Here is a 22,428-nt window from a genome sequence, read left to right as displayed (position 1 = left end):
CGAGACTGTGAGAAGTGATTTGCCCGAAGTCACAAGTCAATATATGGCAAAGCCAGAACTTGACCCTACGTCGTCCCTAAAGCCTCTGGAGTAATTACTAGCTTTTTACACTCTCCCTCTGATCAAACTAAGTCCCTCCTACCCCCTGGTTCATCCAGCTGCCATGCACCTGCCAGGCACCTGAGCCTTTGGAAGATTAACAGGCTACAAAAGAGAGCCTTTACTGAGTGCTCAGAATAGCACCTGGCACATGGGAAGTCCCTCTCACCCTTTGTTTTCCTTTAATCCTCACTATTATTCTAAAAGGAGGTGCTCTTATTAACCCCACTGTATAGGTGAGAACTGAGCCACTGCATATGGGGCTAAAAGGAAACAAACACCCCTGTAAAAACCCCATCATTTTAAATTATCTATTTAATCGTTAAGAAATGGTGGTTAGGCCACGTTCGGTGGCTCAAGCCTGTAATCCCAGCACTTTGGGAGGCTGAGGCGGGCGGATCACGAGGTAAGGAGTTCAAGACCAGCCTGGCCAACGTAGTGAAACCCTGTCTCTACTAAAAATCCAAAAAAAAAAAAAAAATTTAGCCGAGTGTGGTGGCAGGCGTCTGTAATCCCAGCTACTTGGGAGACTGAGGCAGGAGAATCGCTTGAACCCAGGAGGTGGAGGTTGCAGTGAGCCGAGATCACATCACTGCACTCCGGCCTGGGCAACAGTGCGAGACTCCGTCTCCAAAAAAAAGGTGATTAGGGTCCATGAAGCTTTAGGAGTGTGTTAAATCAGTTACAATAAGCACTGTGAAGACAGGGAGATGGGAGCAAGGAACCGGCCACAGGAAGGGGGCCTACACCACCACCCAAGGGAGCACCAGTGGAACGGGGGACGCACGCTTACCTAGCTCATGTGGGAACTCCTCACAGAGGATGGCCACCGAGGTGCTGATGCCTTGGAAAACTGACACAGTGAAGGAAGCACCGATGGCCAGGCCATCGATGAAATTATGGAGGCCGTCGCTCAGAGTGATCATCCAGGCCAGAGTGCCGATATCAGAGTAGCGGACACCTTTCAGCCAGTAGCAAGCACTCTGGGAAGCCTGCAGGTCCTAGGAGAAAGCACACCCCCAGGGCCCACAGCGTCAAAGGCTGGACCATGTGCCCTCAAGGTAAGCCTGAGTCAACCTCTTAGAGGCTCCACCAAGCAGCTGGTGGCCCACTGACCTGCACAGAGAGCGAGCCCACAATGACCTTCTCGTCCACCATGGGCGCCTTGCCGTCCAGCTCACTGCTGCAGTGCTGAGGAATCATGTGGTCCAGGTCCCCGTTCTGCAGCTTCTCCATCACCCCCTCCTCCTGGTCCTTCTTGGAGGGAAGCGACTCAGAGGCATAATGGCTGTGTCCATGATGATGCTGGAAGGGTGACAGGGAGGGATCAGCATGACATTCACCAAAACCACAAACCTGATTGAGCACCTGCTCCAAGGAAGTGCTTCACACACTGGAAGACCTCAGCCTTACCATCGAAGATGACACAAGCAGGTCACGTGCCCAGAAACATAGCAAAAGCTATTATATAAAGCCATGGTCGGGCACGGTGGCTCACACCTGTAATCCCAGCACTGTGGGAGGCCGAGGTGGGAGGACTGCTTGAGCTGAGAAGTTTGAGAGCAGCCTGGGCAACGAAGCGAGACCCCGTTTCTAATATCTATATATATAAATCTGCACCAAGTGCGAAGGACCTGGTGTCAGACAGATATCAAAGCTGTCTCCTCGGGGTACATGCTTATTCCACCAAGGCAGCCACTGCTCAAATATTTAGAGCTCCTCTTTTGCAATGGCTAATCTCACTCAATTCAGCAGCTATTTAGGGAATAACTGCATGCCAGCCACTAAAGATATCTTTTTGAAACTGTACTATAATAGTCCTGTTTCTCTGCAGCCTCATACTTCATACAGAATGAATGCATGGTATCAAGCTCTTCTCCCCATCCTGTAAAGATACAAATATATTAAGGAAATAATCTTAGAACAAAACAAAGGGGATAAACTACTGCTTAGTAGAAGGCACCCTGGCCAGATCTAGTTTCTGGTCTGGCCTCACTTCTGGCCAAATATCCTCAGGAGGTGAAATGGGATTGTCTCCTCAAGAAATTAGAGTTTCACGGAAATTGTGATATTGGGCTAAGACCATCACCACCACCACCACAATACATCAACATTGTTTGAGATGGGTGTTTTCCCTAGAAGAGCTTTCTTCAGCAACAATTGGGCCTCACCTCATTTTTCTGCTTAAGAAGAATCTTCAAGATCTTCTCTGTGAAAAAGAAAAGATAAAAGCCCCCAAACACCACTGCAGACTTGGAGACATAATAATCTTCCAGAGGGTTGAAACCAAATGCCTGTGGACCCAGGAAAAGAAAATGAGTTTTAAAGAAAATAAAGCATCTTTACTGATCCCCCTCTTATCTCTTAACTACTTCCTTGACTCTAGGAAAGGAGAGAGGCATAATGGAGTAACTCTGCCGTCTACCCATCCTCTTTCCAGCAAAAATCTAGTCCTTGGTGTTTCCCTGATGTGACATCACTAAACCTGCCAGGTTCTTCTCAAGCTTATTTGCTGATGCAAAAGACTGATCATCTGTAGAATTTTAATCCCAGAAAGAAAAACCTCCGATATGGTTTTCCACTTTTGATTTATCTTGGTGCTTTGCTATGAAGGCATTCTCTGCCAATAGATTTCATATTGAAGGAGCAGACACTTGTATTTATTTTCATCTTATCTAGTGTTCCTGGCTGACCTGCCTGTAAACACAAAGGGAGATGGTGTAATTATACTTTCTAAAACGGGAAACCCATTTCCCAGTTAAGTAATAAGAACTGCAGCGTTTTCCTAACCGCAGACCTCCCAGTGACCACAGAACCAAGAAAGTGGACTGTGTTATTGCGAGCGTCAATTTTTGGGTTTTGTTTTGAGTCCTTTCTGAAACTGTCACTTATCAAAGAGGGAGGGGAGAATCCACTGGGAAGAGGACAGGAGTAGAAATCAAGAGAATTCTGTCCTAGGGTAAGCTCCTGATTTATGGTGGGTTCTTGTGAATGTGTCTAATGACCTGGCCGGGCACGGTGGCTCATGCACTTTAAAGGACCGAGGTGGGTGGATCACTTGAGGCCAGGAGTTTTGAGACCAGCCTGGCCAACATGGCGAAACCCCAACTCTACTAAAAAAAAAAATACAAAAATTAGCTGGGCCTGGTGGCACACCTGTAATCCCAGCTACTCGGGAGTGTGAGGCAGGAGAATGGCTTGAACCCAGGAGGCAGAGATTGCAGTGAGCCGAGATGGCACCACTGCACTCCAGTCTGGGTGACAGAGTGAGACTGTCTCAAAAACAAACAAAAAAAAGTATCTAACGACTTGCTCCTATTTTATTCTTAAATTTTTTTGTGGGTACATAGGAAGTATATATATTTACCGGGTTGTTCCTCCATTTTCTGATGGGAAACGGGCCTTGAATAAACTTCAGCCCTCTCATGAATTGGTCCAAAATAAAAGTTGATCCCAACTTCAAGGAACTCTGGGCTGTTTGTTGCCTTTATGTTTTAAACAGGCCAAATTGAATCACCACCCTCCAGGGAAACAACACTTTCATGTTGACTTTCCAGGGGAGTCGAATCATCTTGGGGGAAAAGTGAAGTGAAAATAGGCAACGAACACTTCTCTGCAAAAAGCCACAAAGGATGGTGAATACAGAATCATGGGGTTGAGCTTCAGAAATCCCAAAAGCTGGGTTCTCGACTCAGGGATATGCGCTCTTGTGCAGGTCAGATTCCAACGTGGTAAAACGTTACTTGTTCTATCGATGCCATGGAGTTAACCTAAGGATCCACTAGGAGGGAGCCAACTGACATTTCAGAAAACACCAAGTGTTGTAAGAGGCGCATGCAGTCATCTCTGCTTCAACTGCGGCTCTGTCCAGGCCTGCGAGACCACCCACAGGGAGACGTCCTGTGCTTATTGTAATTAATGGGTCTGCTGAGGGGATTACACCAAATTAGATGAACCATCAGCTCCTTCTTTTGTGGCAAGTTTTCTCATGAACTTATTAGGCAAAGGTACCATCAAGGTATATAAAACCAGACATTGTTTGACTTGCATTGCCTTTGCCCCAAAACTCCCTATGGACAATCTTTTTACTGAGAACTGTGGGTTCTGATGATGTGGGAGTTTGTTTGTTTGTTTTGAGACGGAGTCTCACTCCCGTCACCCAGGCTGGAGTGCAGTGGTGCAATCTCGGCTCACTGCAGCCTCCATCTCCTGGGTTCAAGTGATTCTTGTGCCTCCCGAATAGCTGGGATTACAGGCGTGCGCTACCACGTCTGGCTAATTTTTGTGTTTTTAGTATAGACGGGGTTTCACCATGTTGGCCAGGCTGGTCTTGAACTCCTGACTTCAAACGATCCACCTGCCTCAGCCTCCCAAAGTGCTGGGAATATAGGTGTGAGCCACTGCACCCGGCTGATGATGTTTTTTAAACTTCTCTGCACCCAAAGCCTTAATCTGAGCACCACAACTAAGCCAGAGTGAGCTCGCTACACTGCATCTTTTCACCCCACATCAGACAGCACTTTCCGCACCAGGCACTCAGTGCTGCAGCAGACTCGCTCGTTCCACCCTCACAACATCATCCTGAGGCCGGTCTATTGCTCTCCCCATTTCACATCTGAAGAAACAGAGGCAGTGTGAGGTCAGTGGTGTGCCTGGGGTTACGGAACCTACTGATAGCAGAGCTGAGATTTGAACCCAGCTCTTCAGCCTATGCTGGGCTGCCTCTCCTAGTTCACGCCTAAGTTCTAGCTTCGCTTTCCAAAAGGAAAGGGCCTCCAGGTGCCCTCTCTATGCCTTCTATCCAAACGGAGGTCCTCCCACTGTGCCCGCCGGCATGCTCCGGGGTGAAGGCCCTGGCTTGCCATACCTCCGGGATGAGCTGGAAGAGGGCGTTGGAGTAGAGGGTTCCAATCGCCAGAGCTATGAAGTAGAGCAGCAGCCTCTTGTAAAAGGTCTTCTTCATGAAGGGCACCACGCTGGCCCCCAGGAGGGAGCAGAGGGAGATGACGGTCACACAGAGGAGACCGTATCCCCACACTGCCGTGCGGAGGGAGGGCCAGCCCCACCCAGGGCAGGGAGAGAAGGCACATGCCCCATTGCACAGCAACCACCATTTAGCGGGAGGAAGGTGGAGCAGATAGGGAGGTCGCAAGGAAAAGTTTGGTGGATATTAACGGAACAAAAAAGAAAAATCAGAGAGAGACAAGTAGGGAGGGAGAGAGAAATAGAAAATTTGTTAGTGATTCACATCTGATGAAATTTCCTTCAATCAGTTCAGAAGAAAGAGGAATTCAAGGTGGCCTTGGAACCCTGTGACTTCTGCCCCTGTGGCCACTGGTGGCCCCAAATCGTTCCTGCCAGTGGTGTGACTGGCAGGGCAGGGTGCTGCCTCGTCACACACCCAAGGTCTGCCCAGACCTATCACAGAGGCTGTCCAGGACAGACTTTGGACTCGAGGGCTCTCTTTATAGGACATGCAAGCAGGTGGAAAGAGGCTGATCACTCTGCTGCTGCGTTTGCTTTTGCATGTCCAATTCACACGGCGCAGGCTCGGGTGACACCACGACCACTTGGTTTGCTTTGTGCAAGACACAACCAAGCCAGATGTGCAGGGCAGAAGGGATGGAGAACGATTAATTCATGCCCAATGCCCATAAAATTCAGTGTCTTAACCTCTCAACTTCTTTGCTCATTTCCATGTGCTCTGAGAGGGGCTCAAGCACAAAGAACAGAGTTCCAGGAACACCCTGTCACAAAAATATTTCCTTGAACATTTCCCAGTTGTGACACTCTGTCCAGGCCCAAAAGAGGGCAAGACAGAACCAGACCAGGATGAGACACTCCCTGGCAGGCCACAGGGGTGGAGCACACACAATTACAGTATTTCCATTCCAGGAGGTCACAAGGCCTTTCATTTCAAATCTTTAAAAAATTAATATATTCCATTGCTGGAGCTGAAAAAATAGCCCAAGTTGAGGCCTCCCCTGCAAAGTGTTTGTCAGAGCCATGCAGAATTTTGAGATGGCACCAAGATGGTTCACATTCAACCAGGAAGAACAGGCAAGGCATGGCATCCCATCTGCTGTCTTTTCTGGGTGAGTCTTTTGACTGGGAAAGCCTGAGAAGCAGCTGACATGGGATCTTTGTGAAGGGCAGCATCCATGACTCCCTAATGGGGTCAACCACACGTCTGCGTATCCTCACCCTCCACAGCAGCATCCCTGCTTGAGCTAAAAAAGTGGGCAGACTGTCAACTTGGGCCTTATTTTTATAGCTCCTCTATGATAACAATTAAACAACAAAATTAACATTTCAAAACAGTCAAGTCAAGGTACCAGGAAGTCAGTCCTATCAGAAAAAAGTCAAGATGCAAGGTACAAAGGGCTGAGTGCCCCTTCCATTTATCTTGTCATTTTAATTTTGTTTGGTCTTAGTCTTTGTTCTGTGTTTGGCTCTCTATGCTAGAAACGATGGCCTGCTCAAAATTAAAGAACACTCGCTTTTTAGGCCAATTCTACATATCACTTGGTAACCTCTTTTCCTTCCATCTCATTCCAGATGGATAAGCTCTTGGTGCCCAGACCTGAGTACTGCCAGGATTTCTCCTTAGAATAGAGCAAGTACTTAGCACCAAAGGCATGGACGGCAGTCGATAGCTGCTGCTTTCCCTTGATGCCTTATGTATGGGGCTTAACAAGGGAGGGGAGACTGTCAAGTCCCCAGGAGGAGGGAAATTGGAAGAACCTTGCATCTGACAGCACCTGCAGAGGCCAGAGGAGTGAGAGGTGGGCCCTGAGATCCAGAGTTAGAAGTCGTTTGTGGCTTTGATACGAGGGACAGGTTCATTTCTCAGGTGGCAGTCATTGGGTGCCTTGGAGCCCAGGGTAGGGGAGGAGGGGATTGGCTCAGCTGTGCCGCCCCAGGGAAAGAGGACGCGCAAGTTTCTGTTCTACTGCACCTCTGGGATGAGCTGGAATAGCGCGTTAGACAGCAGCGTTCCAATGGACAGGGCGATGAAGTAAGTGAGCACACGGCTGAAAAACGCTTTCTCTGTGCAGGGCAGGACGAGGACTCCCAGGAGAGAGGCCAGGTTAATCAGTGAGACACTGAGAAAACCAAAGCCCCACACTGTGGAGGAACAAGAACAGACGAGGGCCTCTATTACTGAGGGTGGGGACACTCCTGCTGCCTGGGGCGGCCCTGTTCTGAATTCAGGTGTGATGGGGCAGACTGAGATCCACCAACCCATCAGTAAACATTTGCTGAGTCCATCTCTCACCAGATGCTGCGGAGAAGCCTAGGGAAACTATCAAAATTGCTATCCAAGAGAAACACCTTTTCCATGGAGAGACGGATGCAAACAGCAATGGAAGCCTAAAAACCATACAAGTAGGCCAGGTGCGGTGGCGCAAGCCTATAATCCCAGCACTTTGGGAGGCTGAGGAAGGTGGATCACCTGAGGTCAGGAGTTCGAGACCGGCCTGACTAACATGGTGAAACCCCATCTCTACTAAATACAAAAAATTAGCTGGGCGTGGTGGCGCGTGCCTGAAATCCCAGCTACTCAGGAGGCTGAGGCAGGAGAATCGCTTGAACCCAGGAGGCGGAGGTTGCAGTGAGCCGAGATTGCACCACCGCACTTCAGCCTGGGCAACAAGAGCGAAAGTCTGTCTCAAAACAAACAAACAAAAAAAACAAAAAAAGCCATACAAGTAAATAACGACAGCAGAAAACAGGGACTTGCAGTAACACAGACAGTATATTCCGGGTGCCGACACTCAGGCAGCACACGCCGGCCCTATGGGGCTTAGGGCTATCAGGGTGTACACTCACAGCTCGTGGCAAGCCCACTGTGGCTGGATCAGGGATACCGGGATAGGGAGGGGAAGAAGGATTCAGGGGCCAAGTGCAGCCTCCGGGAGGTCTTAAAGGAAAAACTATAAAACCAAAGTAGGCCAGGTATGGTGGCTCATGCCTGTGATCCCAGCACTTTGGGAGGCCGAGGCAGGAGGATCACTTGAGCCCAGGAGTTTGAGACCAGCCTGGGTAACATAGTGAGACCGTGTCTCTACAAAAAATTTAAAAATTAGCTGGGCATGGCGGTGCACGCCTGTAGTCCCAGCTACTCAGGAGGCTGAGGCAGGAGGGTCACTTCAGGCCAAAAGGTCAAGGCTGCAGTGAGCTATGATTGCACCACTGGACTCCAGCCTCGGAGACAGAGCGACATCCTATCTCAGAAAAAAAAAAAAAAAAGATTAAAAAAGCCAAAGGGTTGGGCCCCCGTGGTTCAACATGAAACAAAAAGCAGACCAAAAAGGGATCCATAGGCCGCTCAAGAAGTCCAACGCTCTGAACATTCGCCAGCTACGGCCCAGGAGTCTGACAATGTGCTAGGCCATCCTTGCAAAATACAAAAATTATCCATCCAATCATCGCTCCCGCTCCTGACACCGACAACCTCATCCTGGTCATCACTGGTGAGGCATTCAGTGAGGAGCAGCAGCAGCTCAGCCCAGGGGTCCTTGTGAGACGCGGGCGAGATGGGAGATGGGCTCCTGCCTTCCTGGCCTGGCTCACCTTCAACAGCGCTTGGCCGCCCCTCCTCCGTCTGCTCATTCTCCTCGTTTTCCTGGTTCTCCGAGGTGCAGGCCCGGGAATCCAGCTGCTGGAGGATGGTGGGGCAGAACTCCTGGAGCTCGCTGCTCCCAATCCGCGACTGCTCGCTGAAATTGTGGGCAGTGAAGAGGTCTCCAGAACTAAAGCACTGAAACACAGGAAGGGCAGGAAGCCGCTTAGACCCCAAAGGTCAGGCCTTGCCCTGCTAAACAGCAACCTACTCAGCCTTCCCAGAGGAAAAAGAGAAGACAGAAATGTCCAAATTTCAGGGAATTTGTAGATTCATCTAGTCTAGGGATGAGGGCAAGGTATTCCCTAAACTTAAAAAACTAGTAACTAATCCTTATGGCTCAGCCAGCCAGGAAAGTTACACATCATAAGCACAACCGTCGGTAAATGAGTGCCTGAGAAACTTTGGGAATGACAAGATTCCAATCATTGTCACCAAAGTGGCAGGGCACGGTGGCTAACACTGTAATCCCAGCACTTTGGAAGGCCAAGGCAGGCGGATCACTTGAGGACAGAAATTGGAGACCAGCCTGGGCAACATGAGACCCCTTCTTTACAAAAAGTTGAAAAATTAGTGAGGTGTGGCGGCACATACCTGTACTCTCAACTACTGAGGAGGCTGAGGCAGGGGGACTGCTAGAGCCCAGGAGTTGGAGGCTACAGTGAAGGAGCTATGATCACACCACTGCACTCCAGCCTGGGTGACAGAGCAACACCCTGTCTCTTAAAAAAAAAAAAAAAGCAAAATATTGTCACTAGGGTATAGTTTCTAGAAAACACCATTCTGGGGCCAGGTGCGGTGGCTCTCGCCTGTAATCCCAGCACTTTGGGAGACTCAGATGGGCAGATCACTTGAGGTCAGGAGTTCAAAACCAGCCTGGCCAACATGTTGAAGCCCCATCTCTACTAAAAATACAAAAATTAGCCGGGCGTGGTAGCTCACGCCTGTAATCCCAGCTACTCGGGAGGCTGAGGCAGGAGAATCACCTGAACCCAGGAGGTGGAGGTTGCAGCGAGCCGAGATCGCGCCACTGCACTCCAGCCTGGGCAACAGAACGAGACTCCATCCCCCACAAAACAAAAGAGAAAGAAAACACCATTCTGTGTGTGTGCCTGAAGATACAAGCTTCGTACCAAATCTGGCTGCACATCACAATAGCCCAGGGAGCTATTATGTTAAAATGCGGGTTCCAGCTACTTCTCTGAAGCTGAAATGTCTAAGGGCGGGGCTCTGCCAAAACTGTGGTGCTGCCCGATCAGCCCCACACATCCTCAACCATAGGACTGCCCTCAGCCTGAAAGACATATGTGTTCACAGAGGTTAGGGGAGGAAAACCTGAAGATTCAGGGAAGTGGGCCATGGCCGGCCAGCAGCCACCACACACAGTCACCTTGGGAGGCAGCAGGTAAGCGCTTCTCACGAACCGTTCCTGTGAAATCTGCAGCTCCACTTCTAATTATACTGTCTACACCTACATGCCAGGCCTTTTCTGAGTTCGGTCTCACATGGGCTTATCTCTGAGAGTCAGCCCTCTTGGTGTGCTCCCAAAATAAGTGCCTGCGCTTCTAAGGCTGGGGGCTGGACTCCCGCCACCCCGAGATGCTGCTGCTATCCTGGCGGGTCCTGAGGCTCACGCAGCTGCATTACCCCGCGGGGGCACGGGGGCGTGCTTGTCTCTGGCTCAGCATCTGATGTGCTCAGGTGTTCGCATCCAAGCCACGTGGTTCCCCCGTCCCTTTTTTTAATTTTTATTTTTTGAGATGGAGTCTCGCTCTGTCGCCAGGCTGGAATGCAGTGGCATAATCTCCGCTCACTGCGACCTCTGCCTCCTGGGCTCAAGCAATTCTCCTGCCTCAGCCTCCCAAGTAGCTGGGACTACAGGTATCTCCCGCCATACCCAGATAATTTTTGTATTTTTAGCAGAGACGGAGTTTCACCGTGTTAGCCAGGATGGTCTCGATCTCCTGACCTCGTGATCCACCTGCCTCAGCCTCCCAAAGTGCTGGGGTTACAGGCGTCAGCCACCGCGCCCGGCCCCGCTCCTCCCCCCCAACTTTTGAGGCCTCCACCTCCTGGGTTCAAGTGATTCTCTCACCTCAGCCTCCGGAGTAGCTGGGATTAGAGGCACCCACCACCACACCGAGCTAATTTTTGTATTTTTAGTAGAGATGGGGTTTCACTGTGTTGGCCAGGCTAGTCTCAAACTCCTGATCTCAAGTGATCTGCCTGCCTAGGCCTCCCAAAGTGCTGGGATTACAGGCGTGAGCCACAGTGCCCAGCACCCCCGTCCATTTTATCTCCACACTGCACTCATCTTTCAAGGGGCAGCTGGAGGACACCCCACGCTCGAGCCTTCCCTGATGACTGCAGCACACTCATCTCCCCCTCTCATTTCTGCATCCTACAATTACTGTCCAACCCACAAAATGCAATGCTTCATTTCAGTGCCTGCTGACTTTGTCCTCTGTTGGTTGAACTCCCCATCGTGACAGTCAACTCCCTAAATATGACTCATTTTTCTCTATTTCTCACAACACCAGCACAGGGAACAAAGTCGATATATAAAGATTTTGCTGGCTGACTTATATTTGGCTGCCACAAATAGCCCCAGAGTCTGATTAGCAGAGATGATATGGAAGAAAGAACACAGAATCCAAAGACCTGGCGTTCCAGCCCTGGTCTCTGCAGGGACTCACTGCGGGACCCTCGGTGTCCTCTCCTATAAAATGCAGATAATCTCACCTGCACCTTGAGGGACTGTGGGCTCACCCGGGATAGTGTGTAATGGACTCTGTCAATGGTAAACTCTATGAGAAATACCGTCCTGGGAGCCGTGTTTTCTCAGTATTTCTGAGTGACTCAAGTGCGGCGCTGAGGAAGATTCTGGGGGGCTGAGAACCCCACTTCCAGGCTGCCTTTTATTTTGTTTTGTTTTGAGACAGATTCTCGCTCTGTTGCCCAGGCTGGAGTGCAATGGCTCGATCTTGGCTCACTGCAACCTCCACCTCCTGGGTTCAAGCGATTCTCTTGCCTCAGCCTCCCAAGTGGCTGGGATCACAGGCATCCGCCACCATGCCTGGCTAATTCTTGTATTTCTAGTAGAGTTGGGGTTTCACCATGTTGGCCAGGCTGATCTCGAACCCCTGACCTCAGATAATCCACCCGCCTTGGCCTCCCAAAGTGCTGGGATTACAGGCGTGAGCCACTGTGCCCAGCCCCAGGCTGCCTTTTGTTAAGGGCTTCAGAACACCTATGCAGGGGGTCAGAAGGTGCTGCAGAAGACTCAGAATTTGCTGATTCAGACAATGAGAGAGAAAGAATCAGCCTGTCCACTCTATCATCGAGACTTGTCTGCCTCATCCTACCTCTGCCAAGCTGCCAGGCTGCCCTGGGCCCAACTAGACAGGGAACCCTGAGAGGCCAGAGACGGGGCTGAGCAGAGCTGCTGGCTCACAGGGGAGCCTTACCGTGGAGAGGTTCCTGTGTCCTTGCACGTGCTGGGTGACATTACCCCGGCCCACTCCCACATCCAGGTGGTTGAGTAGGGCCTTCAGCTGCTGCAGAGTGAGGCTGTCACCCTCGCCATACCGATGTATTAGATCCTGCAGGAAGGAGGCAGCGCTGATAGCTGGTGCACCCAGGGATGAAGCGTGAGCCTCAGGGGTGGTTCTCCATAAGCCAAGCAGGGTCAGCAGGAGGCAGCTCTGGAAGGCCGGGTGCAGCAGCAGCAGCTTCATGGTGACTGAATAAACCTGTGAGAGAAAAAGGCAGGTGAAGCTGAGGCCTCTCCCTGTGTGCCGGCAACTGCGCCAGGCCCGCCCGCCACACACTGAACATGTTGAGACTATCCCTCAGTCTCTGCTTCTCTGCTCCTTCTTGAATTAGCCTTTGAGAAAAACCCTTCTTTTGAAAGCACAGAATAAAAACGAATAAAAAGGACAAATTCAACAGTTTTGACTAGATTGAAAAATGAAAAAAAAAAAAACAAACAGCAATGCGGTTATGATTTTTTTTTTTTTTTGAGACGGGAGATTCACTCGTTGCCCAGGCTGGAGTGCAGTGGCGCAATCTCAGCTCACTGCAACCTCCGCCTCCTGGGTTCAAGTGATTCTCCTGCCTCAGGCCTCCCAAGTAGCTGGTATTACAGGGGCCCGCCACCACACCCAACTAATTTTTTTCTATATTTAGTAGAGATCGGGTTTCATCATGTTGGCCAGGCTGGTCTCGAACTCGTGACCTCAGGTGATCCACCCACCTCGGCCCCCCAAAGTGCTGGAATTACAGGCGTGAGCCACTGCACCCGGCCAGTTATGATTTTTTAGAAGTCGTTTTAGAGGTACTGAAATAACCATGGATTTGACATCTTATATCTGGGGACTGCTTCAAAATAATAAAGGAGGGGGTATGAGCACACGGGTGTGGATGAGACATGATCAGGCATGAGCTGATATTCACTGGAACTAAGTGACAGGTAGATAGGAATTCATCAGACTCTCTGTCTAGTTTTTGTTTGTTTGTTTGTTTGTTTGTTTTTGAGACAGTCTTTCTGTCTCCCAGGCTAAAGTGCAGTGGCACGATCTCGGCTCACTGCAACCTCCACCTCCCAGGTTCACGCAATTCTCCTGCCTCAGCCTCCTGAGGAGCTGGGATTACAGGCATTTGCCATCACGCCTGGCTAATTTTTGTATTTTTAGTAGAGATGGGGTTTCACCATATTTGCCCGCTCGTCTCAAACTCCTGGGCTCAAGTGATCCACCCACCTCGGCCTCCCAAACTGCTGGGATTATAGGCATGAGCCACTGTGCCCGGCCCTGTCTACTTATATATGTTTGAAATGCTCTGAAATAAAGCTATTAAAAAATAAACATCGGCCGGGCACTGTGGCTCATGCCTGTAATCCCAGCACTTTGGGAGGCTGAGGTGGGTGGATCACAAGGTCAGGAGTTCGAGACCAGCTGAGCCAACATGGTAAAATCCCATCTCTACTAAAAATACAAAAAATTAGCCAGGCATGGTGGTGCACGTCTGTAATCCCAGCTATTCAGGAGGCTGAGGCAGGAGAATCGCTTGAACCTGGGAGGCAGAGGTTGCAGTGAGCCAAGATCGCGCCATTGCACTCCAGCCTGGGCGACACAGCAAGACTCCGTCTCAAAATAAATAAATAAATAAATAGGCCGGGCGCAGTGGCTCATGCCTGTAATCCCAGCACTTTGGGAGGCCAAGGCAGGCAGGTCACGAGGTCAGGAGATCGAGACCATCCTGGCTAACACAGTGAAACCCCATCTCTACTAAAAATAGAAAAAATTAGCCGGGTGTGGTGGCGGGCGCCTGTAGTCCCAGCTACTCGGGAGGCTAAGGCAGGAGAATGGCGTGAACCCTGCAGGCAGAGCCTGTGGTGAGCCAAGATTGTGCCACTGCACTCCAGCCTGGGCGGCAGAGCGAGACTCTGTCTCAATAAACAAACAAACAAACAAACAAACACCATAACTAAAAGAGAAAAATTACAGACTGGCAAAAATATATACCATTTGATATGACATAGGTTTATTTCTATACTGTACAAATTAGTAAACAAACATAAAAAACAGCCTCTCTATAGTATTGAGAATATAAATTTAAAACTTGGCTGGTTCCATTTTGCTACTTATTAAAATAGCAACATTTTTTTTTTTTTTTTTTGAAATGGAGTCTCACTCTATTGCCCAGGCTGGAGTGCAGTGGCGCCATCTCGGCTCACTGCTACCTCCACCTCCTGGGTTCAAGCAATTCTCCTGCCTCAGCCTCCCAAGTAGCTGGGATTATAGGCGCTGGCCACCATACCCGGCTAATTTTGTATTTTTAGTAGAGACAGGGTTTTACCATGTTGGTCAGGCTGTTCTCGAACTGCTGACCTCAGATGATCCTCCTGCCTCGGGCTCCCCAAGTGTTGGGATTGTAGGCGTATGCCACCGTGCCCGGCCAGAATTTTTTAAGATAAAACATTTCATGTTAGTGAGGCTAAGCAATAGAATAAGATACCATTGACTGCATAAATAATGGGACTCTTTCTTTTTTTTTCTTTTTGAGACGGAGTCTTGCTCTGTCGCCCAGGCTGGAGTGCAGTGGCCAGATCTTGGCTCACTGCAAGCTCCGCCTCCTGGGTTCACACCATTCTCCCACCTCAGCCTCCCAAGTAGCTGGGACTACAGGCACCTGCCACCACGCCCGGCTAATTTTGTTTTTGTATTTTTAGTAGAGACGGGGTTTCACTGTGTTAGCCAGGATGGTCTCAATCTCCTGACCTCGTGACCCACACGCCTCCGCCTCCCAAAGTGCTGGGATTACAGGCGTGAGCTACTGCGCCCAGCCTATAATGGGACTCTTGAAAAGTTATGTGATAAGGAAAATATATAAATCCCTCAATTAACAATTAATAATTAATTAATTTGCTTTAATAGAAGTAATCCAAAAGTAAAAAGGCTATATGCAGAAAGATGTGTTATGGGTCAAGTAAATCATATCAGTTTCATGGAATAGTATGCAGCTATAAATGAGTCATGGCATAACGGCAAGTTAAAAAGCAGGGCAATTATGTGGCAGAGTTTAGAACTGAGAAAGAACACAGACAAATGAGGCCGGGCACAGTGGCTCACGCCTGTAATCCCAGCGCTTCGGGAGACCAAGGCCAGCAGATCACTTGAGCTCAGGAGTTCGAGACCAGCCTGGCCAACACGGTGAAACCCCGTCTGTAGTAAAAATACAAAAATTAGCCAGGCACACACAATCCCAGCTACTCGGGAGGATGAGGCAGGAGAGTCACTTGAACCCAGGAGGTGGAGCTTGCAGTGAGCCGAGATAGTGCCACTGCACTCCAGCCTGGGGGACAGAGCAAGATTCCATCTCAAAAAAAAAAAAAAAAAAAAAAGAAAGAGAAGAGAAAGAGAAAGACAGAAAGAAAGAACACAGATAAATGAAAGCTTAAAGTAAGATTGATGACGATTTTTCTTTTGTTAACCACCTCCCTTAGTATGGTTATAATTTAATTAGTGATCTAAACAAATTATCCAGAGGGGAAAATGAGTCTCCTTTCTCCAGACCAAGAAGCAGCCAATCACTGCAGCCATTTCTTACCCAGGCACCCAGGGCTCGGACACTAATCTCAGTGCATCACATGCCCTGAGGCTTTGCTTACGACAGAGGAACAGCGGCAGAGTGGCTGAGAGCAGGCTTGCCTGAATCCTGGCTCTGCCACTTACCAGCAATGTGATCTTGGATGAATTATTTAACTGGAGTCAACATTCTAGAATCACTCAAAGCAGCGACGCAGCTTATCATGGCCTTCAGTGTCAGACAAACCTACCTTGAATTTCTGCACAGCTGCTTGTAAGTAACTACAGACAAGCAACCCAGTCTCCCTCTACCTTCAGTTTTCTCATCTATAAAATTGGTATCCACCTCATTAGATTACTTTGAGGATCTAACAGCATAAGATATGGCAAGGCCCTTGCCAAGTACCTGAACCATATAGAAAGCACTCAATAAAATTTAGCTATAATAATTATAAGACTTATAAATCAGCAGGGTTCCCAACTCTGACTCTCTCAACCCAAACATCAGGCTGCTAATGAAACTGTCAGGCATATCCTGTGGCCAACTAAAGTATCTTAACTACAGGCCCTGGGGCACACACATCACTTAAGTCCCCTACTGTGATACACCCAGGGACATCACATGCTTTAGGATCCACGTATGGGGCACGCACAGAATCTGGGGACATAAAATATCACTCTTCAGTGGAATATATACTTTTGAGTCCACATGGATGGATTCGGCATCAGCCACAACGACGGTTTGTAAAAGTGCTACTTTGAGATTCACAACTCTCAAATCTCCACCAAGAGACAAATGTTAAATTTTGGCGAGCAGGGTGGATCTTAGGCAAAAATGACTAAAAACCTGTTGTACAAAGAAAGTGGTTATCCATCAGAGCAGACTGTGAACTGTCGATGGCAGGAGTTGTACTGTCAAAACAAGGGGGAGGTCTGCCTGTATTTAGAAAAGAAAAGGCAAAGAGATGATGGACAGCAGCTAGCATTTACCGATTGCAGACCTTGCTAAGCACTTGGCATTCCCCAGTTCCTTTAACAGAAGCTGGGAAACTTACTCCACGTAACAGACAAGGACACTGGGGTTCAGCGATTAGGAAACATGACCCACAGAAGCAAGCAGCAAAGCCAGAAGCTGAATTGCTTTGTAAATCAAAGCCTGGTCTGAATGACGTTAAATTCAGTGCTTTCTTAACCACCATGCCCTCTGCACAAAGACATAAAAATACATGTCCTGGAACCCACGGAGATCCACAAAGTCCTGCGTGTCTCTGTGCAGATCTTTCCCGATGTCTAACAGCCCCAACAAGCATCCAAATCTTGGCTTACAATGCTCTGCAGTGCTATGAGGGGACGGCCCTAGGTAGCCTTTAGAGGACACACTGTCACAGTGCTCGTGCTCTGGGGCTACTTCAACAAGATAAACCAACAGATGTTCCCCCCTCAGCTGCATTTCTCAAACTTAACCGCTGTAACTTCAAACCACTGAGCAAACAAACCCCAAAAGACTTCAGGTGTGGGAAACTCAGGGTGATTTTAGCAGCTTTGCCTGGCTGGCACTCACCTAGAGGTGAGCATCTACGAAGCATTTACTTTTCCCAGACCCAGCGGCCCCTCGGCCCCTCAGGTGGCTGCTATGACAGCCTGGAGTGCTAGGCAAGAGGCACCTTCAAGTTGTACCATCAGAAGAATGAGCCCACAGGACCACCTTCGCTTCTCCCAGGTGACCTTTTCTCCCCTGCAGCACAGCTGCTCTTTCCTCCAGGACGTGTGCTGCACTGGGCACTGACGCCCACAAGACAGCATCCAGGCTCAGGTCTAGACCTGTCTCCATGGGGTGTGCAGATTCAGCGAGCACAGCCCCCCTGCCTGGCCAGCGCTTGAGACATGCACTCACCCGCAAGGGTTGGGGAGGATCTAGGAGCTGCGAGTGACACTTAAGTCCAAGTGACCCCGGCCTTTTGGCAGGCATGAAAGGGGAGTTTTCTGCTCCAGTGGAGTCTTGTCTTCTTTTTAACTACAAGTTATTCTTAGCGGGGAAAAGGTTTGTAAAAGGTATTAGAGAGGAAAGAAAGAAGAGGGAAACACACACAGCTGTTGACGCCGCTGGGACGGGGAGGCCGGGCAGGGGTCCGCGCGCATGGCCCCAGCTGCAGGAGGAAGCCCCACGCCAGGTTCCATTCCATGTGTGGCCCCTGGAGAGCCACTCCAGTCCCCCCAGGGTGTCAGGCCAGCTGCCCTCAAGTAAGGATGGACACCTTTCAGGGGCAGAAAGACAAGTGGGAAGGAGACAAAACGAAGTGTGCTGTGGCTTGGGAGCGCCCCCAGGCCAGCTCTTCCTGCTGGAGAGGGGCTGGAGTCTCTCTGCCTGAGGGTGCACTTGCCTCAGGGTCAAATAAGTAAAATTATTTTAGTGCCCTCCTTCTGTGTCTAAGGCGCCAGACCCAACCCTTGGGGAGGTGGGAGGGAGACATAGGAAAAAGCAAGACACCTGTTCTGGAACCCTCTATGGAAGCGCAGAAGTTGCCTTACCATCCAGAGGCCCATAATTGGAATTCCACCTACCGTCACCCTTCACTTGGTCCAGAAGTAGCTCTGCCTAGAAGCGGCACTTCTGTCCTGCACAGACGCTTCTGTGATGTTCAGCATGCTGCACTTTTTTCTAAGCCCACCTCCCCTCTCAGAGAGGAGCAAACATTCACTTCTGTGACGCTGGGTCTAGAGGTTGGGCATAGATATGAGAACAGGCAACAGAAACCAACAAGGCCTCAGAGCAGCCGGGCATCCACTTGTCCCCTCCCTTTCCTGACAACCCCCCACCGCACCCCGACTCTGCTGGCCAGGGAACTCACCACTCCCACTCTCAGATTCTGGGCGCAGAAACACAACATGAAAACTAAGCTCAAATGCTCCAGAGACAAACTTGCCCAACTCAGACGATTTCCGACGCCAAGAAGCTGTGTGTCTGCCCCCCGACCCCTCGCGCCCACTGTGCCCCGCCAAGCACAGGCTGTGTGGGTGCACAGGACTTCGCCAGGGTGGGGCTCTTACGCGGGGTCAGAGTCAGCTGCAGGCTCTGGGGTGGCGGTCGGTTTGAAGACAGTCTAAACCGGGGTTTTATTAAGCATTTTACTTAAAATTATGAGAAGGCTGATGGTCTACACAAAGAAAGACCACAGGGTTGCAGGGGTGGGTGAGGGAGTGGAGGGGGCGGCCAAGTAGACGCCAGGCTGATAGAAATTATGTTCCCCAGAGCTCTTGGTTCCACCACTGACTGGCCTCAGTGAATCATCCTAAGACGTCCCCGCAGCTGTCTTCTCAAAGGACGTAAAATGAGCCGTCTGGTTCTCACATATTCCTCAGGGACAGAGAAAGGGGTCTCCGAGGGACCCATGATCCTGGCACATCACCCAGGCTTATGACCGTCCACAAGACAGTAACTACAAAGGTAGCTCCCACCACTCTCTTGGGGTTCTCTCCCAGGAAAACAGCTCATTTCTGCATCAGCCCTTCAAGCAGACTGCGCTTTCTCCACTCTTCCTTCCCTTTCCCACTCTAGGGCTGTGACCGCTGAGCCTGATAGAAATGTATCTCCAGCTAGCAGATAACCATGGCTCAAGGTTAGCTCTCTGTGAGTCACACAATAGCAAAAGGCCCTGGGTGAGCCAAGAGCCATCTGGAGCCCAGGCGTAGGGAAAAACCCTGACAAGTTGCAGACAAAGGACAAAGCCAGGCCTCAGGGTGGAAGGAGGAGGTCTTTCTTTTTTTTTTTTGGGACGGAGTCTCGCTCTTTCGCCCGCTCTTTCGCCCAGGCCGGAGTGCAGCGGCGCTATCTCGGCTCACTGCAAGCTCCGCCTCCCGGGTTCACGCCATTCTCCCGCCTCAGCCTCCCGAGTAGCTGGGACTACAGGCGCCCACCACCACGCCCAGCTAATTTTTTGCATTTTTAGTAGAGACCGGCTTTCACTGTGTTAGCCAGGATGGTCTCGATCTCCTGACCTCGTGATTTGCCCGCCTCGGCCTCCCAAAGTGCTGGGATTACAGGCGTGAGCCACCGCGCCCGGCCAGGAGGAGGTCTTAAGGAATAAAAAAAATCAAGGGCTACTTCTCTTGAGGACTGCGGGTGCTAGTGGCCTGGGAAGCGCTGCCTGGCAATGGAAGGGCCACGGACGTGAATCTGAAGCCCAATTTTCGGTAGGACCACAAGCAACATATTATTACAATGAACCCCTATCCGTAGTTTGAAAAGAAGAGAATAAACTTGCAGAGTTTAATGAGTATTATAAAAACAAGCATATTGAAACACTAAAGACTTAAGATGAAAAAATGAAATAGGAGTGTAATTTTCCTACACCTGATAATTAACAAAATGAGTAGAACTTTTAAAAGAAAAAAAAATTAACCAATGCAACCAAACAAGAAAACAGATCTAATCAGAGATATATTAACTTCAAAACCACAGGCAAGGAAAAAGGAAGGAGGCACCACGCATGGCTCATGTTCTATTCCTGGCCCAACCCTGACAAACCAAATGAATGACAAGGGCAGAACCAGAATTCTCACTCACATCCCCAAATGTGGCAAGAGGAAGTCTTTTTCCTCTTCAGTTGAGTAGTAGGAGGAAAAGCTACCGGGGAAGAGCAAAAAAAAAAACGGTGCACCTGGACCAAAAACAATGGGCTGACTCCCTTGGAAGGAAATAAGGGCTCCCGGGCCACATTCTGAATTGAGGACATGATCCAATTCCAAATTCCACTTAGTCTTCTCTCTCTCTCTCTCTCTCTCTCTCTCTCTCTCTCTCTCTCTCTCTCTCTCTCTCTCTCCCCCCCCTCTCTCTCTCTCTCTCTCTCTCTCTCTCTCCCTCTCTCTCTCTCTCTCTCTCTCTCTCTCTCTCTCTCTCTCTCTCTCCCCCCCCTCTCTCTCTCTCTCTCTCTCTCTCTCCCCCCCCCCTCTCTCTCTCTCTCTCTCTCTCTCTCTATTTATTTATTTATTTTTTAAGATGGAGTCTTGCTCTGTTGCCCAGGCTGGAGTGCAGTGGCGTGATCTCGGCTCACCGTAACCTCCGCCTCCCGGGTTCAAGCGATTCTCCTGCCTCGGCCTCCTGAGTAGCTGGAATTACATGCATGCACCACCACACTCAGCTAATTTTTGTATTTTTAGTAGAGACAGGGTTTCACCATGTTGGCTAAGCTGGTCTCAAACTCCTGACCTCAGGTGACACACCTGTCTCGGTCTCCCAAAGTGCTGGGATTACAGGCGGAAACCACTGTGCCTGGCCAAGTGTGCCTTCTCTTCTAACGGAAAAGGAATACAACTCCCAAGGAAGTGAGCAGAGCCACACTGCAGGGACTAAATCCCTGAATAGAGGACAGACCCACCTCACCACACAGCTAGCATTCCTTCAGGCTACAGAAAACAGGTCATAAATACCCAGTCCTTAGCACTCCTGGAGCTGAGAGGTGGGGACAAACCTGGAGAGGAAAGTTCCTTTCTTATTTTAGAGCCAACAGAACATGTGAGCAGAACTGCACTCACATGAGGAAGAGGAAAAGAAACGGCAGGCAAAGCAAGCCACAGACAGGTAAACCACAACTCCAGAGAAAGCTGTTCCTCACCACTGCTCCACACGGAGGAATAACCTCATTAAAACATCAGTTCCACGAGACGAGAGCTCAAAGATGAGATTATAACCAACGTGAGACCAAAAGAGGATGCAGGCTTACTAAAAAAGAGGAATAAAACCTCACTGAAGAACCAATACATTATGACAAATACAGAACAAAATTCTGCCAGTCATTTAACCCATTTAAGCCTGAGGTTGCAAGTTTTTGAATTTTTGCAATCAGACTTTGGCGATGACCTTGAGCAGGATATAAATTAACTCCTATATGCTTGGTGTTCAAAAAATGGAACACTAGGCATAAATGGCTCAAGGAAAGTTTGAGATAATCACAGTGAATGCAGATGGACAAGAAAACTTAAACCAAAAACAGTGAGAAGACAAAGAGACTAACAAAAGGATAACTCGTATTCCCGGAGAGGGGAACCCAAGAATGAAATGGAAGATGTGTTCTAAGATAAAACACAAGATTTTCCTGGCTGGGTGCAGTGGCTCACTTGAGGTCAGGAGTTCAAGACCAACCTGGTCAATATGGCGAAACCCCAACTCTACTAAAAATATAAAAATTAGTCAGGTGTGGTGGCGCACACCTGTAGTCTCAGCTACTCAGGAGGCTGGGGCAGGGGAATTGCTTGAACCCGGGAGGCGAAGGTTGCAGTGAGCCAATATTGCACCACTGCACTCCAGGCTGGCGACAGAGTGAGACTCTGTCTCAAAAAAAAAAAAAGAGAGAAAAGAAAATTGAGAAACATACTAAAACTTCTTTCAAACGGGAAAAAATTCAAACTGCCTTCTTCTTTCCCGAATAGCACCATTCAGTGTCAGAAGAGAATGCAAGAATGTCAGAAAGTCTCCACAATTCAGAGCAAAAGAAACTATGAGCCGAGAATATGATCCCCAGCCAACACATCACACAATTTGGTAAAGACAACAGGCAGAAATTCTGGGGCATGAAAGAAGTCAGAAAATATAGTCCCCTTCCTAGGGGGGAAATACGA

The 22,428-nt window shown here is 49.5% G+C and overlaps 1 protein-coding gene across 14 annotated transcripts in view; it reads right to left on the bottom strand.

The window, feature by feature from the left end:
- SLC39A14 (solute carrier family 39 member 14) overlaps positions 1 to 22,428 on the bottom strand; it is a 66,852-nt gene that overhangs the window by 16,957 nt on the left and 27,467 nt on the right. For 11 of the 14 annotated variants that reach the window (NM_001135154.3, NM_001351656.2, XM_006716324.4 and 8 more), the window contains 6 exons: positions 12,193 to 12,477; positions 8,677 to 8,863; positions 4,967 to 5,136; positions 2,271 to 2,393; positions 1,216 to 1,404; positions 893 to 1,100 (listed from right to left, as the gene is read on the bottom strand). In NM_001135154.3, the coding sequence (NP_001128626.1) occupies positions 893 to 1,100; positions 1,216 to 1,404; positions 2,271 to 2,393; positions 4,967 to 5,136; positions 8,677 to 8,863; positions 12,193 to 12,462 (1,147 nt within the window). In that variant the 5' untranslated portion in view covers positions 12,463 to 12,477. Of the gene's footprint in view, positions 1 to 892; positions 1,101 to 1,215; positions 1,405 to 2,270; positions 2,394 to 4,966; positions 5,137 to 7,057; positions 7,228 to 8,676; positions 8,864 to 12,192; positions 12,478 to 18,375; positions 18,529 to 22,428 lie in introns of all 14 variants that reach the window. The other 3 variants (XM_047421653.1, NM_015359.6, XM_047421654.1) reach the window with 2 other exon arrangements.

This window comes from Homo sapiens, chromosome 8 (assembly GCF_000001405.40).
Source record: "Homo sapiens chromosome 8, GRCh38.p14 Primary Assembly".
Classification (NCBI taxonomy): Eukaryota; Metazoa; Chordata; class Mammalia; order Primates; family Hominidae; genus Homo; species Homo sapiens.
The sequence above is the reverse complement of the archived record's forward strand: the minus strand, read 5'-3'. Positions and strand labels throughout refer to the sequence as shown.